The 18,537-nt window shown below is 48.7% G+C and overlaps 1 protein-coding gene across 42 annotated transcripts in view; it reads left to right on the forward strand.

Moving 5' to 3' along the window:
- Positions 1–18,537, forward strand: part of ZNF536 (zinc finger protein 536) — a 487,995-nt gene that overhangs the window by 74,470 nt on the left and 394,988 nt on the right. The window lies entirely within an intron of this gene.

Here is an 18,537-nt window from a genome sequence, read left to right on the forward strand (position 1 = left end):
AATGGCATTTGTGATTAAGCGTTATTAATAGCTATTTGTTATGAGCGTGGGAGAGTTTTAGAAATTCATATTATACCCTCCTCAAGTTTTCTAAATCTTACCATTGCAGATGCCAAGAGCAGGCATTTCCCCCCGTCCCACCCCGGTGAATCTGATTAACCTGTTGTCCATCCCAATTCTGGGTGGTGTTGAACAGGAATCTTACATTCACACAGCGCTTTCCGTTTCATGCCACATTTAATTTCCCCAAATCTCTCTGAATCCCCTACATTTATTTCCTGGGGTCTCTTTGCTCTCCAGGAGCCTTCCTGTCCTCTGTATTTGCCACTGTCATCTGCCTGGTGTTTCTTTTGTCTTGTCACAGAACCGGCCCTGTGGAGGTACAGACTGGGCACCTTCGGCCGCAGTGCATGCAGTGGCTGCAGCCAGCCTCGTTATGGAAAAGAATTGCCCAGTGGGTTGAGGGAATGGGCAACAGCACACTAGAATCATGAGGCTGAAAGGAATATTGCCGACTGGAGGTCATTTTTCCCAACTGAGGGGCAATAGTTTGCCACTATAAACTGCACATTGCAGTCAGTATATGTTTTATTAAACCATTTAAGGAACTTGGGAGCCATTTCATTTAAACTTCCTGCGTGAAGGAACTCAGGGCAGAGCCCAGAGCAGCTCACAAAAGAGGCCTGGAGTAATTTGCCGAAGAAATACCCCAGGTACCCGGCAGGATGATCGCAACGGGGGGAGCCTGGCGAGGGCTGGACCCAGCGCTTATAGTACTCTTCGACGCCTGAGTGCACAAGTGTGTGTGTGTCTGGAGGTTCGAGTCCTAGCTCTGCCGCTAACTAGCTCCATGACCTTGGTCAAATCTCTTAGCTTCCCCTGGACTATTTCTGCTGCTGCAATAGGAGGGGATGGGGTTTGATAGGAGAGGCTGGGTCCTTTCCAGCTCAGTGATTCCATAAAATGCTGGATCATCAGGGGGTTGCCCCTGGAACTGTGGTTCTGGGACGCCCCATCAGGCCCCTGATCATCACAACGGAAAGTCAGCTTTTGTGTCTGCCCTGCCTGGGAAGTGATTCTGGCTGTGGACGTTTTCATAGGCTCTGGGGACTGAGGCTCCCCTGATCCAGTGGTGACGTGCGGGTTCTCAGCATAGAGCAGGGAAACCGGCGACAACTTACTTCTCATATTAAACAGAAATAACCTCTTCACATGATAATTTTATGTCTGAGGAAATAGGAAGCTGAGGTGCGTGCACTGTGCCTCTGAGCCTCAGTTATTCTGTCTGCAAAATGGGGTAGCGGCGATGCGGACGCTGTTGCTTTAGCTGTAAAGGGCGACAGAAGGGATGCCCTGGGTCCCTTCTGTTATCACTCTGGGTAACTTTGTGATTACAATTTAGCTTTAACAACTCTTGCGAATTGCATGACTGCACATTCCGTGTTCACAGTTTGTGCCTAGGAAGAAAGGAAGGATGAGGTGAGATGTGCTTTATCTTTAAGAGTAATGGACAGAGTGCAATCTGCATTGTAGCTTTCTCAGCCCTAACTGGTGGTCCTTAGTAGGTGGCTTTAATTCTACAAAGTTATATAACCGAATCTTTTGTCTAATTGGTAACTATATTTAGGAGGTAGAGAAATATGTGAGCTATTCGTTTCGATTAAATTTTTTATTATGCACTCTGCATTTGGATTGACAACTATTAATATTAAAGAGCTTGGCCAAATTGAAATTTGTATTGCTGGAGAGACTTAAATATAATGTATGATGCTGAAAAAAAAAAAGCCCAGGGAAAAGGGGAATTACCAGGCTGGGTGCAGAGAGGTCCCTGCCAGGTGCCGATGTGGGCTAGGTAGAATCTGCCCCACCTCTGCACACTGAGGAGGGAGGTGTGTAGAGGCCTCTGCAAAGCCAGTGTCAAGGTCTCAAGGATTGAGATACTTTCATAGAGATGATGCTAAATAAAGATGTAGAGCACGTTTTAGCAACGTATACAAATAATTTTTTATAATCACTGTTTGTATATAATATTTTTTCCCAGCACTATTAAGAAGGTTTGGGGGTAAGGCAGAGAAAGTCGTTCTAAAATAGGATGCATGGAGCACTGGTGCAATGATGTGGAAAAGGGAGGACAGCTTCCTCGGAAATCCTAACGCAGATTGTGTTGCTCTGCTGCAAGTCCTCGGGAGATGGGAGGCTCTGTCCGTCCTGCGGCAGGGAGGGCTCAAGGCCACAGCCAGGTGGGGAACGTGCTGGGAGCAGATTCCTGGGCATCCTGGGCCTGCTGTGGGCAGGCCCTGGGACTCACAGCCATGGTTCTGCGTCTTTGGGGCTGACTCCTTTCTAACTCCTAGCAATGCCTGTGGCTTTGCACAGTGACCTGGGTTGTCACATGCAGAATCCTATAGGATTTGCACGAAGACCCGGGTGGTCCTCAGACAGGGGAAGTCAGGTGTCTGGGTCCATGCGGCCACTGAACAGCAGACACAGGACAAGAACTCAGTTCTAGAATGCAGTCTGTGGGGCACTCTCAAGAGAAAGTGTCCTCTTTGGGAGTCTACAATGCTACAGGGCCAAGGGTGAGCCCACGAGCCTCTGGCGTCTGTGCCCTGTTAGCTGGTCTCACGGACTCCAGACACCTCCACCTTCCACGCATTTTCTCTTGTTGGGCCCTCTATATAGAATGTCAGCCCCATCCCAATCCTCCAGATAAACCCCTCAACTGCCCCCAGGGCCTGCAAGCAGAGAGCAATCAGTATGTCCTGAATGGGTGCAGCAGACGCAGTGCACCAGATTTGACTGGCAAGGGAGGGGAAGACGACCCTTTCAGACTGGTGGTGGCCTTACGTCCTTCATCCCTTTTTACCCCCTGCTGAACTATAAACTCTCTGGTGGCAGGGACATTTTTCTTGTTTTTACATAATTTTTCCTGACATTGGGAGCTAGAATATCAATGTAAGAAAACCTTCATAGACAGGGGTGCTCAAAGCATTGGTGGTTCTGGCTCAATGGATTTTAGGCACACACGTTTTCATCTCCATTTGGCATTTTGAAGCTCCCAGGAGCTCCTAGATGGGTGATGGGTTTCTGAGGCTCGGCTGGTGTCCAGGGTCTCCTGGGATGGGGACAGAGCACACCACCTTGTGTCTCCACTGCTATACACCTGCTCCATCTCCCAGAGATGACCCCAGCTTCTGGAGGGCAGGCGCCTTCCTTGTCACCCCACCAGTTAGCTCGGTGGCTGGTGCATCTGTGGCCATGGCAGGCTCTATGTGATGGCGAGAGAGGCAGGGCAAGAGAGGCAGTGCGGGAGGTGCAGGGCAGGGGCCTTGGCGCTGCCTCCAGGTTTCTGTGATCAGCTAGGTTCCTAGCTTCTCTGGAGAGCAGACAGCCTGGGGGGTTGTTTCCTGAAAGGGAATCAGGTTCCCTGTTTGCTTTTTGACACTTTTTTTTTTTTTTGAGATGGAGTCTTGCTCTGTTGCCCAGGCTGGAGTGCAGTGGTGCAATCTCTGCTCACTGCAACCTCCGCCTCCCAGGTTCAAGGGATTCTCGTGCCTCAGCCTCCCGAGCAGCTGGGATTACAGGTGCCGGCCACCACGCCCGGCTAATTTTTATATTTTTAGTAGAGACAAAGTTTCACCATGTCGGCCGGGCTGGTCTCTAAGTCCTGATCCACTTGCCTCGGCCTCCCAAAGTGCTGGGATTACAGGCATGAGCCACCATGCCCAGCCGACACTTTTTTATTAGGCAGGGATAGCAGATACTATCGGTGCCCCTTGGCAGCCACTCACCACTCAGGGTGAGGCTTCCTCACACCAGCATCCACGACTCTGCCTGGGTGTGTCCTTCGTCACTGGTGTGTGTCTAGTCTGTCATGGGGGCAAGCACACGTGCCAGGGAGTTAACACCTCTGGAGCACCCCTCAGTCGATGGGGATGGGGACTGGTGGGTAGGCAGCGGTCTCCTCTCTCCCTGGATGGAGCAGCGTGGGGGAGTCCCGCTCAGGGTCTTAAGAGTTCCCGGTTGGACTCAGGCCTGGTGCCCTCAGTGCAGTGCACTTTTTAGCCTGCTGTGCACAGGCCTCCTTTCTTTCCCCACCTCCCCACTATCCCCTGGCATTTTCTGGGACTACCTCCTGCACAAACTTTCGCACAAACTTCCTGCACAAACCGCCCGCATTTGCATCTTCATCTCAGGCCTTCCTCTGAGAAAACGGCGCAGACGAAGGCCAGTTCAATGGAGCTCGAACCATTGGAGCCGGGCTCACACACAATCTGATGGATCCTTCTTAAGGCCAGGTCCCTTAGGCTTTCTCATTTGAGCCTTCCAGAAGCCTTTGATGGGAGGGAGCTGAAGTTGTTATCCCATTCTCCTGCAAGGAAAGCTGAGGTCCAGAGACTTTGCAGAGCTAGAATCCAACTTCCTGCCCAGCTCCTGCCCTCCTAACTTCACTGATTCAACAAGGGGGAGCCTGGGCCTGGACCTCTGCGGGGGCCAACCACTGCCTGTCCCCAGCTAAATGGGAGGGAGTTAGTGAGTTATGTGACCCAGAGCCGGCTGCTCTGGGGGCAGTTGGGGCCAGCAGGTGAGGTGACCTGGTAGGGTCCCTGAGCAGTGCTTTGCTCCTATTAAGTCCAGGAGGAAAGCGGTGAGGGGAGAGGGCTGTGGCTATGTGCTAGAAAGGATGAAAGCCTGGGGCTCACAGAACTGCCCCACGTGGACCACTCAGCCTGCAGGCTCTTAGCCGCTGCAGGCACCATCTGGGGGAAATGATGGACGGTGGACCAGCCCAAGTTCTCATGATTGGGCTGGAGAGAAGTTCTAGGGGCAAAGCATATTTGCATCTTCCTGACAGTTTGCAAAGATGCCTCTGTCAGAGGAGTGCCTGTTCTTAGGAGGAGACTGCTTGGGGCAGACATCTCTTTTCCCAGCTCATTTGCTCCTCTGAAGTTCTGCAGAATTAAGAGCCCAAGGGAGTAGCCCAGAGAGGAGTAGGAGGGCTGAAGCTTGGAAGGCAGGAGGCTGAGGGTTTTGCTTTCCATTAGTTCCAGGGCCTGAGGCTGCATTTTCTCTTGTCTGGGCCTTGGTTTTCCCAAATGGACTGGACAGTGTGAGTTCCCCACTGTAGTTGAGTAGTTGAGGAAGCTCATATAGAGTTTGGGCTAGGGGATCACCTGCCAGGAGTGAGCTTGTGCAGGGGCAAGAGTGGGTGCAAGAGAGACCGTGGGAAGGGAGGGGAGCTAGTGTCCTCGCTTGACCCTCAACCCATTCCTGACTGGCTCAGTTTCCCCAATTGTACAAAACAAGGAAGGAAAATGCACACTTCACTGTGTATGGGGAGGGGTGGAAAGTATTCTGTTAATTGAGTCAAGTGCTTGGCAAATGGAGGTGTGATCTGAGCGGTGAGCAGCTGGGTATTTAATGTTCTTAGGAGAATCAGCTCAGGCTGCTCTGCAGTCCTGGCTTTAAGCCCCTGAGATAGCCCTGAGCCTCAGCCCCCTTCATCACTGAGAAGCTGCAGGGGTGGTTGTTTCAGCTTTGCCCTGGCACCAACATTGGAGGCTGAGAGTGTTTCTTGGGCCACAGTCTCTTGCCAAGGTTGGGTTCAGAGGGTGACCCCAGATCTGGGTTTGGGGTTTGGGGTTTGGGAGCCCACTGTTCAACACCTGAAGGACTCTTCTAGGCAGAATTGGGTGGGGGACCAAGGCAGGGATTGGGAGCCATCTGCCCTGGCCCCTGGTAGGCACTGGCTGGGCTTCGGCAGGAGGGGCCAGCGTGGGTGAGGAAAGGACTGTGCCATCAGGCGCCCTGTCCTCCCTCGGTCCACCCGCAGTGTAGAGCCTGGGCCAGGCATGGAGTGGATCCTCCCGACGTATTTAGTGATTTGATCTGACAGAGGGTCACATCGGTTTTTTTCCCCCCTCCAAATTTTAATATCAGATTCATTTATTATGCTGACTGCAACTGACAAATGTTCACATTATTCACCCATTTATTCATTTGCTCATGAAATCTGTGTTGAGTAATTGTTTTGCCTTATTGGCAGTTTTAATTCTACACTCCTTTTTTTTTCAAAAGGTCAGTGGCTTGCTAGCTGACCAGGCCAGTGTGTGCATTCCCTGGAGAGAATTTTTTTTTTTTTTTTTTTGTAAAGAGATGCTTGTTTACACTGGTCAGACTTCAGCTTTGAGTTTCTCTCTTCTTTTGTTGCCTTGGATCAATACCTTGGAATTCCCAGGACTCAGTAAGGCTCTTGTCTTATCTCTCTGTCACCCTATTTCCTGGCTGAATATCTGAGCCATCTCACCCCACAGTCAGATTATTCTCTTTTCTCTGCTTATTCATGTCAAGCTAAGATCTACAGACACACCAATATCAAAATGTATGTGTATGTCTTGGGTTTGTAACACACTTACCTCTAACACGTTGATAGAGCTAATGAAAGCTGTCAAGTTTGAAATGTCTCTGGATTTGCTTTTGGCTTTTGCCTGAAAGTACATGAGATTCAAGGGGAATATTTCACCTGCGACTTTGATTTGGAAAATTGAAAAGTTGGTTATAAGTTTGTTTGAGAAAGAAGGCGAAAATGTTCTGGAAAATATAGTTCCAGTAAAGTTACTTCTGAGCTGAAACATTCAAAATGCAGAGATCTATAGTCTGGTATGTTATTTTATGGTAACTTTCTGTATGCAGCTGTGTTTGCTGTGAAAACTCACATTTCTGTATGGAACACTGAATGAAATATGAATGTGCTTTTTACAATTTAGTACTTTTAATAAAAGATTTGTGAGCAAAAAGCTTAAGTGTAAGAGCCACAAAACATATAGATAAAAATATAGCCATAATCACACATCAAACCCTAGAAAATTCAGTATGTAAAGAACATCAGTAATTGAGAGAAGTTGAGGGAACCGACAGAAAAAATTATATTTTTATATATATATATCTCTCCAGAATTCTAAAGGCATGAATCCTTTTAGCTGGGATCAGGGCTTCTGAGTTCTCTGGAGTGGGTGTTTTATTACAGTGGATGCTTTACTTAGAAGGATGTAATTTATTATCTCGAATTCGCATGGCAACATGAATTTGGATTTGGGTTTCTGGGAGAAGTTTACAATTAGTCCCCTCACATATATTTATAACTTTGAAAAAACACTTGATGTTAAAATAACTTAAATACCTCCCCCCCCTTTTTTGATTGATATGTGAAATATTGCCTTTTTTAAAAAGAAATGAAAAACTAGTCACTGCTAAATGAGGCGTGGCCACTGTGTTCAGGGGGAACGGTGATTAGGTGGGCACTGTTCCCAGGGCCAGAGGACGTGCAAAAAAAAAAAAAAATCTGTTCTGCACCTGCTTTGGCTTTACATGAGGGATGCTTTTAATTTTTCTAGCTTTTCATTGTTTCCTCATTGGAAACTCCTCTCTTCTAAGGAGAGCTCTAACAGAGGGTATGAGGAAGATGTGCCTTTTTTTTCCTCTGTTCCTGGTCTGCCACATTCACCCAAGAGTCACCCTAACCGTTCATTCTGCTGAGAGCCCCTTCTCCTGATACGTCCCTCCTGCTTCATAACATTCTCAGTGGGCTGTGATTGCTACCGTTTTTCTTTTTCTATTAAAATACAGTCCGAACTTGATTATGTGTTTCAGTATTTCTCAGCCTGACCCACAAGTAAAACCGGCGACAATGATTTAGTTATTGGCTCGTGTTTATTGCCAATGCAATAAGGTTGTGGTGCCTGACATTTTCTTCTCACTGTGTTGAAGCTTTTAGCGAGTTGCTCTTCTTACCCAGAAAGCAGCGTAACTTGGCCTCTCTTTGCAGATGGGTTACACATTCCTTTAACACTGGCATGCTCCTCTAACCTTCCTGGGTGGCTTTCGATGACTTAAACACAGTAATTGGCATGGAGGTCTGAAGCTTTATTTTATGATATTAAATCATTCTTTTCTGGAACAGAAATCTGCAAAGTATACCATTCATTATGCTAAGGCCTGTATTAACAAGGGCTCTGGCTGATGGCTGGTGACATCTTGGAGAACTTATGTAGCACATCTCAAGGGAGGTGTCAGCCCTCACCTGTGGAGGTGAGCATTAGAACCAAGAGCAGAATCCAGGATTCCATCTGCTGTGTTTCAGGGACAGAAGTGTATGGTTTGTCATTGTGAGCTTGGTGCATAAAGGGTAACATTACCCTAAAAATACTCACAATGTGGACTGAGATGAACTTGATTGCTGTGGCATTATTTTAGGGGGACTTGGCGCTTTCTCCATGTAATCTTGTGAACATTTTTTTTTTCATGTGAACCATGATTTTCTTGAAACAAAGAGGATTATCAGTCATAAGTTCTGAAGACTGAAATGGGGTGGGAGAAAGGTTTAGAAGGAGAAGATTTTTTAAAGGACTTGCAAAGCTGGCACTCAACTCTAGCTGGAGAGAAATTCTTGAGTTGGGCGCCATCTTGGTTTTGTTGCTCCAGGGCAGTGAGGGAGGGGATGGGAGATTTTCAGGTCCTCAGAGTCCTCATGTGTTCCATAAAAATGGGTTCCTGTAGCCCATAGACAGCTACTAGAGGGAGTTAAGGCCTGCTAGGAAAGCCAGTGAGAGTTCTCTAAGGCTCCAAGTTCTAAGGGTTGCTCCTCTCCAGACAGCTTGGGAACTGCAAGCCACTGGAAGTCACTCTGTGGTCGCACAGAGCTCTGCTTCGAGTCCAGCAGTCTGTGTTTTGTGCGGTCTCACTCTAGGCTATGTTCCCAAGTGGAGCACCATGATTTCCTGTGAAGGGTCCATGAGATAGATCTTTGGTGATGAGGCCAGCTTGGAGAAAATGGCGCTTGAGAATTTCTTATGATGCTATTCAATGACAGTGTGATTCGTGGCGTCCCCCCAGCCCTGTCCCCTGCCCAACTTAACCACACTTGGCAAGATCTCTGAGGAGTCCTGAGAAGAAGAGTCCTCAGGCAACAGCAAGACTTTCCCACCCTGGTCTAGGAAAAAAGTTCTGGAAAAGACAAGAAGTCCATCAGACACAAAAGAAGACATGTAAGGGGAATCAAAACAAACAAAAAAGCTATGAAAATGCAGAGACTCAAGAGGTCGCCAAGCGAATGAAATGACTTAAGGAGTGATATGTTTGCTTCATCTTTCTGGTTGCTCTCTGAATGGTCTCTGATAACACATTTTAGCTGTAGAAATGGGGAAAGGGGGCAAAGACAAAGTTCCGGGAAGGTTGCAAGAGATAACTGGTTATCTAACTGGTATCCCGGGGGCCAGTGTGGACTCGCTTCTATGTCTAAAAATGATTTTGTTAGTATGTAGGTCACATTACTGTGCTGTCTGGTTATTGGACGTTGCCTCAGATAACTGTTTGTGGAGTATTAAATGGTTCTGCTGCCTCAGCACACTTTTTCACTGGTATTTTTCACACAGTTGTGCGGCTGAAAAGGCGCACTGCTGCAGCAAAAATCAATTTATCTTTCCCTCTGCTACTTGTGTGCTGTGAGTTCTTGTAGTGTTTTACCATTTGATTAATTGATATTCTTTGTGTCGGACATCATTTGTAACACTGCTGTCCAACTTTGGGTGTCTTAAAAACTTTCGTAAGAACACATTATTTATGTGAGACCTCCTCATGACAAAGTACAATAGTGAGATGCAGAAAGAAAAATTAGATCGAAATGCTCTTGGCTTATAAGTTTATTAAGGGTGGAACAATGTTTCCATTCACGTCTCCCTCCTCCCTTCTGCATCCCTGTCGCAGGGTGACTTCGACGGCTTTGCTCGAAAAGTTTGGTGATGAAAGTTTTTCCTTCCTTGGCTTTTTCTGGGTGGTGGTCTTTTGGGATTAGAGGGGCTTCTGATTGCCTTTCAGATGAGAAAAGTGGGTGGGGAGGGGCAGGGACAAGTGGGAAGGGTAGGCGTGGCGTGGAATGAATGCAGAGGCTGCCCCATCAGAGTCCTGGGGTTCGAGAGCTGGGAGCAGGAGAGAGCTCCTTCTCCATAGGTCTCTCCCAGGGCCTTGCTAGATGGTTTTAGTATAACGTGTTTGCATGCATTTCACATGGTGCTGGTCTTTCCGTGGGTATTATTAATATCTATTTTTGGAGCAAAGACTGTGTCAAATGAAGGTACGCCAGCCCCGCGTTATAAAAACAGAACAATACTGTTGCTTCCCCGTTTCATTATAAAGTTTCTTTGACCCTGTGGTTTATTTTCAAACATTCAAGTTATTTGTTCTGGTGTATTCTTAAACAGGGGTTGTTTTTCTCCCTTTCAGAAAATGAGCACAGATGGTGATGGATTCTTCAAGTGCTGACATCCCTGCTTGAGAAAATGTTCCCACCTTCTTTGTGCCGAACAAGTCAGGCAAACTAACATGATGATGCGATCATCGGTTTCATGCAGACATGCAGAATTGATTGACAGGGGAAAATTTAACATAAACCACACATTCTTTCAGTGCCTTCAATTTCTTAATGATGTTTATTTGTTGGATATTAGCAGCGGCAGGAATTTCATTTAAGGCGAAAAGTGGGGAGAAAGGAGAAGACGGAGCAAGGGGAGAGAACTTGTTCCAGGCAAGCAGGTTTAAGAGGAAATTTACTGCTCTGGTAGAATCTCCATCAAAACAATTTGTAACCGCTCCTCGGAGCCAGCTTGGAGCTGAGGCTGTCAGCGGCTAACCAGCCATTCTCAGACCATTGCTTCTGTTTGCGTGACTAAATACAGACAATTAACGCCGAGCACTTTCTTCTCTATGAACTCATTGTTATCCAGGGTTCAAGTGCTCGGATAATGGGCCACAGGGACCATGGGCTGTGGCGGAGGGCTACTTTGTAAAACCCATTCCTCATTATCTGATGTGAGCCCTCCTGGGCGACTCAGGGCCCCGGCTCCCTTGCCCGTGGGTTTTTGTAAGGTTGGTTCAGGAGATCCATCGTTCCCTGATGAGCCTGGCCTGACGCTTGGATCCTGAGGGAGCCCTTGGTCCCTAGGGCCTGGAGGTGACAGGCGTGGGGACCTTGTACAGGGCATGGAGAGTGACCACTGGCGCTGCTCATGCCTCCAGTGACTGCCTGCCTCTAGAGGGGCCTCTCTGTGCTTCCTGGGGCTGTGTCTGTCTTTCCTAATGCTCTGGGCAGAGGTGGAGGGAGATCAGGAGCCCATCTGTCCCTGAGCTCCTGACCATGGTGGCCCTTCCTACTGAGGACTGGTTATAAGGGCCCTGCACCCCAAAAAGGCAGGTGCCCTTTTGCCACCCCTGTGTGCAGTTCAGATAAAAAACAATATGAAGCTGTAGCATTAAGTGTGGCGAAGTAGAAGAAAGTTCTGAGATTTAATATTTTCTCCCAAAGCATCACATTGTTTCAAATATTTTTTCTCAACTTTGTGGGGCCTGCACTGCTCTGGTGCCCTAGGCAGGTGCTTAGCCTGCTCACTGGATAATCTGCACCTCATTTACTCCCCATATGGTCTTCGTGTATTTCCTTTTGCCATATCCATACCCTCCTATTATTTGTTTAATATTTTCATTGAAGCAGCTTTACATCAACTTCTCTCTCTCTCTCTCTTCCCCCACCCCCACTCTCTCATTCCCCAGCCTGATACCTGCCCAACTTAGTTAGCCTAGTCCTAATGTTGCTGTGAGATCATGGGTTGAAGGTGCTAGTTATGTTTCCCTGAGTCACATTAAAGTAAATGCAAGTGGACTATTAAAATTTTAAGGCTAAGCGTGGTGGCTCACACCTGTATTCCCAGTGCTTTGGGAGGCCAAGGCAGGAGGATCACTTGAGGCCAGGAGTTCGAGACCAGCCTGGGAAACATAGTGAGACCTCATCTCTACGAAAAGTTAAAAAAAAATTAGTTGAGGTGGTGTGCACCTGTCAGCCCAGCTACTTAGGAGGCTGAGATGGAAGGATCACTTGAGCCCGGGAGTTGGAGGCTGCAGTGAGCTCTGATCGCACCACTGCACTTTGGCCAGGGTGACAGAGCAAGACCCTGTTGCAAGAAAAACATTAAATTAAATTAAATTTGAATGAGTGAGTCTCACTTCCCATCACTGGTGCCCGTGCCACGGTTTTGGACACCTGGGTACAGTTTGCACTTGCCATTTTGCAGGTGGAGAGAGGCGGTGCATGAGAGAAGATGAGCCTTTCCAGGATGGCGAGGTGCATGTGACCTTAACTGTGGGGAGAAGAGAAGGTCTGTGGGCACCCCAGGATGAACAGAGGGGGCGGGGATGGAAGGGAAGAGGGGGACGCGCCACAACTTTCCCGGAGAAAGCCTGTCTCAGAGAGTGGAATGGTGGTCCTGCCTCCTCCACTTCCTTCTCTCCAACCCTTGCTGGCCCGAGCGCACAGAGCTTCCCATGCTCACATTTGGCTTCCAAAGCAACTTCCAAAAACAAGCTTCTGGGATTCCTTGCGATCTTTTTTCTAGTTAAGTCAGATCAATGGAGTTTTTGCTAAAGTGATTATTTTTCTTTTTGTATTAAACTAGTTTAAAATACAAATAAAAATCATAAAATTTACAAAGTATTTTCTGTCTTTGAAAGATTCCCACAGTCACCTGCATGGGGGGACCAGGTGTCCAGAACCCATCTGAAGGAGGGTGTGGACCACCCCCACTGCTCATGGTCAGAGTGGCTCCCTCTTGCTTAGGGTGAAGGATGTGTGCTATGCAGTTGTATAATAGGGTATGGTCTTCGGACTGTGCCTCGGGCGGCCTAGTGGGCTGGGATGTGCATTGCACAGAGAGCCAGGAGCCTGGGTTTTCCCACGAACGCCTCTGTGACCTCAGGCAGCCTCCCTCCTTTGCTGGGACCGTTTCCTCTTTTGCAAAATGGGTACAGTAGCATTTGCTCTGGCCCTTTGCAGGGCAGGGCCTGCTTCAGTCCCCAGACATCATGATGGCCACACTTCCCATACTTCTCTCCTTCCTATCAAAGTGAAAGGCCAGGGACTTCCAGATCCCGCTGGGGTGAGCCTCAGAGCAGACATGCCAGGCATCATCCCTGGGTCTCTGTGATGGCTTAGCGAGGTGACAAGGCCGTGGCAGACACAGAGCCCGGGGCACTCACAAGGATCTTGCCTTAGCAGGTGACACAGTCTCTGCAGCCCGAGGCTTGGACAGAGCCTGGGCTGCCCAGATAGCGGGGTGGAGGTTTGCTTGCAGGTAGCTCCCTGTCCAGGCGCCTTGTACAGTGAGCTTTCGGGTCAAACCTTTCCTGACACAGCTGGCCCTGCCTGGGCCTTCTGCTGGTGCCAAATAACCTTAAGTGGTAAGAACCCCTAGAAAATCTACTAGTGGTGGCTGACTTCTGCTTAGGTCCCCTGCCTTGTCTCCTCCCCACTGTGTCAGTCAGAGCAGGTTGATCTCAGCCTGGCCACACACAGCCCTGTTTCCCAGGGGTCCTGGGGAAGCCCACCCACTCCGCACTCTCCACAGGGAGCCCATTCTCTGAGCAAAACCCCAAGCTCTGCTACCTGCCACCCCCTGCAACTCTCACCCTCACCCCATGACCTCCAAAGCCTCCCAGGGCCAGAGATCCCTGTCCAAGGTGGGGCTTGAAAGGACTGGGCAGGAGGGAGAGCCTCACAGCCTGCTGTCCCCACACTGCCCACCCCGACTGTGGTTTCCAGCATCCCTGAGAAGCCCAGGCCAAGAGTGGCCTCTGGGGGTCCTCAGTTCAGTGTGGCATCCTGAGTACAGGTGGGTTCCCCGTTAAGGAAAAGTGGTGTATGAAATTTGAGTCTCCCAACCTGAAGGCCTTCTCATGGGACCAGAGGAAGACCCTGGAAGCCTGGGCTCCGAGAATAGATGGCCCTGTCCCTCGCTCCGCACTATGCGGACTTCAGAGTAAAGAATAGAGGTTAGGCCATAACACAGATGTAAGGAAGTTCATCAAAGTCCTGCTGCCTCCCATGGCAACTACTCCAACGCTCCTTTGGGACTGTCAACTCCAGCTCTTATTCCCAATGTACTCAGCTTTGAGGTGGCCCTGCATGGCTGGTGTGCTAAGCAAATGCTTGCTTTGCTTATTGGAGGCCCCTGCTGTCTCCTGGGGCTGCAAATTGGCAGAGGGCTCTGCTCACCTGCTGTGCAGAGAACATTAGAGTGAAGGGCCTGGGGGCCCCGGGGACCCCTCTGGGGCAGGGCAGCAGTCCTGAGCTGCAGGTGCACCATGGTGTCCCTGGGAATGGAGTCTCGAGCGGGGCGGTGCGGGCTGGACTATCATTCGTGCAGGCTGTGGTGTAGACAGGGCTCCTGCAGGTTATGCCTTCTGGGGCCCTGGTTCCGAGACTCTGCCCCTCGTCGAGACAGCTCCTTTGTGAGTTAGCTGCAGCTCTCAGGTGCCCTTGGTACCTGCTGCCAGGTGCCACACATCTCGAGGGTCCACTTATCAGGTCTCAGCTCTGCTGTCCTCCACCCTTGTGGCTGCCCTCATAGAGAAAAGAGCCACACCGTGTTCCCAGAGCCTTGTAGGCGCAGCACCAGCTCCCAGGATCTGGGAGGCAGAGCTCAGCTGTTGGACTCATGTTGTCAGGGTTATCTTTGCACTTTGACCTAAGTAGCTTTCCCTGTGGGCCTGTGCTCTGATCCCGGCTCGCTGGGGAGGTCCCTTCTCTCCCTCACTCCAGGGGCCTGGGCAAGGTGTTGGGTAGGTGGTCCAGGGCTCTTATTGGTCTGATAGGAGGAATGTGCCTGTGGCAATGAGCAAGAGGCAGGCTAAGGTGGGTGATCGCACCCAACCCCTCCCCTTTCTCTGGGTGGAGCTATTTGTTTGCTTGTCTACACAGGTGGTTCCTGAGCTCCTGCAGGGTACCCAGCCCCGATCCCCCACCCACTGGCCCCACTCTCCCTGCTGGCTCTCTACCTGCAGGCCTTGGCCTAAATGGCATGTCTCAGCGAGGCCTTTGTGGCCCACCGGGTCCTCCTCCCCACCACGCCTACTAGTTTCTCTTCCATGCTTCTCTCCCCTTGGCACTTCTGCTTATTCTTCTTATTTCACTGTTTTCTTCTGTCCCAGATTATCAGCTCCTTGAGGGCAGGAATCTCATGCCTTTTGTTCTCTGCTGTATTTTCAGCACCTAGAAGCTTGCTCAGCACATAATAGGTGCTCAACAAATATGCATTGATGGGGAGAATGAAGAGGCATGGTCCTTCTCTTGTGAAGTGTACTGTCCAATGTGAGTCACACTTAAGGAGTAAGGGATGGGTCATAACAGTTTATAGGGCATAGTGAAAGGAGTTATTGAGAGTAGGGAGGCGAAGGCTTCCTGGAGGAGGCAGTCAGGGAAGACTTCCTGGAGGAGGTGGCCTGGAAAATTGAGTCAGAGTTTTATATGCAGAGGTAAGAAAAGGAAGGAAGGATGATGGTGGGGCATGAGCCACCCCCCTCTGGGCCCTCTGTAGCAGGGTCTGGTTTGAGAAGGTCAACAGGGGCCCGATAGGAAGGTCCTGAGTCCAGTGAAGGATCCTTGTCTTGGTACTGGAGGAGGAGGGGCAGCCTGAAGGGTTTCGTGTTTCAGTGTAGTTGATTTCACTGAATTACGAAAGTTCTGTGGGTTCACTATTAAGATTCAAACAACACAGATTTCTGTAACGTGAAATCTAAAAGACCCCTTTCAACTCTACTTCCAAATCCTTCTCCCATCGATGGAGAAAATTCCTATAATGCATTTTGGTTTGGTAAACAGCACCTGCTGGACTGGTGTATATATACATCATGTGTAGGGTGAATATTCACAAAAAGAAAATCATGCATATGTATTTTACATAAAATTGACATTGAAGCCTACATAATGAGATCTTACTATACATATTGTCCTGAGACTTACTTTTTTTAAAAAAAACAGTATTGTTTTTAGATCAAAACATCAGATACATAGGAGGTGCACACATTTTTTAACTTCTGTGTAATTCTGTGTGGTATGGCATATTCATATTCATGTACCCATATGTTGGATATGAGGGAGGTTTCCATTTTCTTTTCGACATTACGCTTAAAATGCTGCAGTAAACACTGTATCACGGTAAACAAGTTTGGGTATTTCTGTAGGATAGATTCCTAGAAGTAGCATTGCAGAATCAGTAGGTATATATTCTAATTCTTTAATAGACGCCACCAAATTTCCTTCCAAGTAATGTTGTTTGTGTACATTGTATACATGTCTACCAATATTGTATGCATAGTACTTACCTGCCAAAACCTCACCAATACTGAATGTTATTGCTCCTTTAAATGTTTGCCAGTATGAAGGAGGAAGGCTGGTATCATCTACTTGTATGTCCCTCATTCAGAGTACAACTAGCTATCTTTTCATATCTGTATTGCCCACTCTAATGACTTCTATAAATTGCTTGTTAATATGTTTTCCTATTTTTCTATTTTTTAAATTGATTTTCAAGAGCTCTTTACATATGTTGGACATTACCCCTTTGTTATACATATTTTAAACATTTTTGGGGGGCTGCTGTAGAGCAAGGGAAGGACATAATCAGGGAAGGCTTAGAAAGACTGCTCAGGATGGATAGGGTAGGGGAGGGTTGGCTACAAAGACGAGGTACCAGGCAGTAGTCTGGGCATGAGAGGGTGAGGCCTCATCCTGTTACATTACAGAGCATTTGCTTTGCTCTTCATTCCATGGGTGCCATTCCAGGTGTGTGCTGAAGACTTTTGGGAAGGTCTTCAACAGGTGGTTTCTGGGGCCACCTGAGGGCTGGTACATAAAGCCTACATGATTTGCCTTTCCTGGCCTGTGCAGGCCGTGGAATCCCGTGCTGAGCCTGGTCCAGGTGGGATGCTAAGATACCCGCCCTGCCGTGGCATGTAGCATAAAGCCCTGTGAAGCCTGGCTGTGGACCCTGAGGAGCCTAGGGACATGGGGAGGGGGACACAGCTTGCAGGACAGCAGAGTATGGGCACTCAGGTCAAAGCGTGGGCTTGGCAAGGCCTCCCTTTGCTCCTGATAGAGAGGGGGTTAGCCCTCATTATTCTTAAGGTGCCCAAAGCTCTGATAGCCTGTAGTTCAATAACTTAAAATTGAAAATGTAGGTTAAAATACTGTTATAAACACCTACAGCCACCCCACAGTGAAGACAGCCACTACACCTTGAACCCAGCCCTGTCTGGGGTCCTAGCTCCCCTCTCCCAGAAGACAGGTGTAATTATGCTGTTTTTCCACAAGAAACTGAGGGGCAGGGGGCTTACTGTCTTGTCTGAGGTTACCCAGCTGGGTCCTGTCAGAGCAGGGACATATTCTTAGCCACCCATGATCTCAAGCCACCCCCCAGGCATTAGGAGAGCCCCTTGCAGGTGCCTCTGAGTTCAGGGCAGACACATGGTAGGTGACATGTCTCTTTAGGTCTTGCACCTACACCCTGGTTTTACACCTGTTCCCAGATGTGGAGATGGCCTGGCTGGAAGTCCAGCGGCCCGAGGAGTGGGTGCCTCTGTTTTCTCACCCCATCCTTCCAGGGGTCTGTGCTCCAGAAGGCGTAGGCCATGTGCGTTTGAACCCAGCCCTCACGGAGGTTGCTGGCAATGTGTCTTGGGCAGACCATTTGCGCCTGGCTGCTGGAGCGGGGCTGGGCATTCCTTCTGGAGGGGGAGATGAGTTTCAATGACCTCTGACCATTGTCTTTGGAGGGTTTACCTTGTAATGGAGTGTTGAGTCAACATTCAGAATTAAGAGCAGAAAGGTAACATTTTAAGGCATTTCATCAATTCTTCTGAGACGCCCACACATCTTGTTTTCCCTCTTCACCACTTAGGCAGCAATTTCTTTTCTTGTTTCTAACAGCTACCTATAGAAAACACTTGAATGCAGATCATATCTTGATGGTATTTACTAATATAAATATTTGCTTTCTAGAAGCAATGTTACGCAAAATGCCTACGCTGCAGGCTAAGCGACCGAGTGCTTGAGGTAAGAAATGCCACCTCTGTGGACTGGAGTTGGTGTCTAGCCGTCTCCACAGTGGCACGCAGGATACTGGCAGAACGGCCAAGTGTCGGCACATCCGGCCTGCCCTTTCCAAGGTCCTTGTGATCACATTTTTTAAAATGATAAAACCATCTTGGCCAGTTTCCCCCAGGACCCCTTGAGCTGATGGAGCCCTCTCCCAACACTGCATGAGGTTCAGTTGCATATTTGCCCAGAACTGTGCTGTGCCCAGAACTGTGTATGACAGCCTTCAAGGAGCTTACAATGCATGAAGATGGGGTGATATCAAACCTCATATCAGTTACATTTATATTTAACTGGTGTAATATCCAAGAACAAGGAAGGAACCGGGCAAACCACACGTAGGTCTGAAAAGAGCCAATGAAATGATGCAGACCAAGGCTAGGGCGGGCAGATGCCTTTGCAATGGAATTAGAGTAGTTTTAAATATGGGCTAATTTCAAGCAATTTTAAATATCACAAGATTCCACTAGAGCGAAAGACTGCAGAGAGGCCTTGGAGTTTGAGAAAACAGGGTTTGCTGAGCTTCAGTCTTTGTATCCACCTCTGACTCTGTGTGCAGGCTA

This window comes from Homo sapiens, chromosome 19 (assembly GCF_000001405.40).
Source record: "Homo sapiens chromosome 19, GRCh38.p14 Primary Assembly".
NCBI classification, from domain to species: Eukaryota; Metazoa; Chordata; class Mammalia; order Primates; family Hominidae; genus Homo; species Homo sapiens.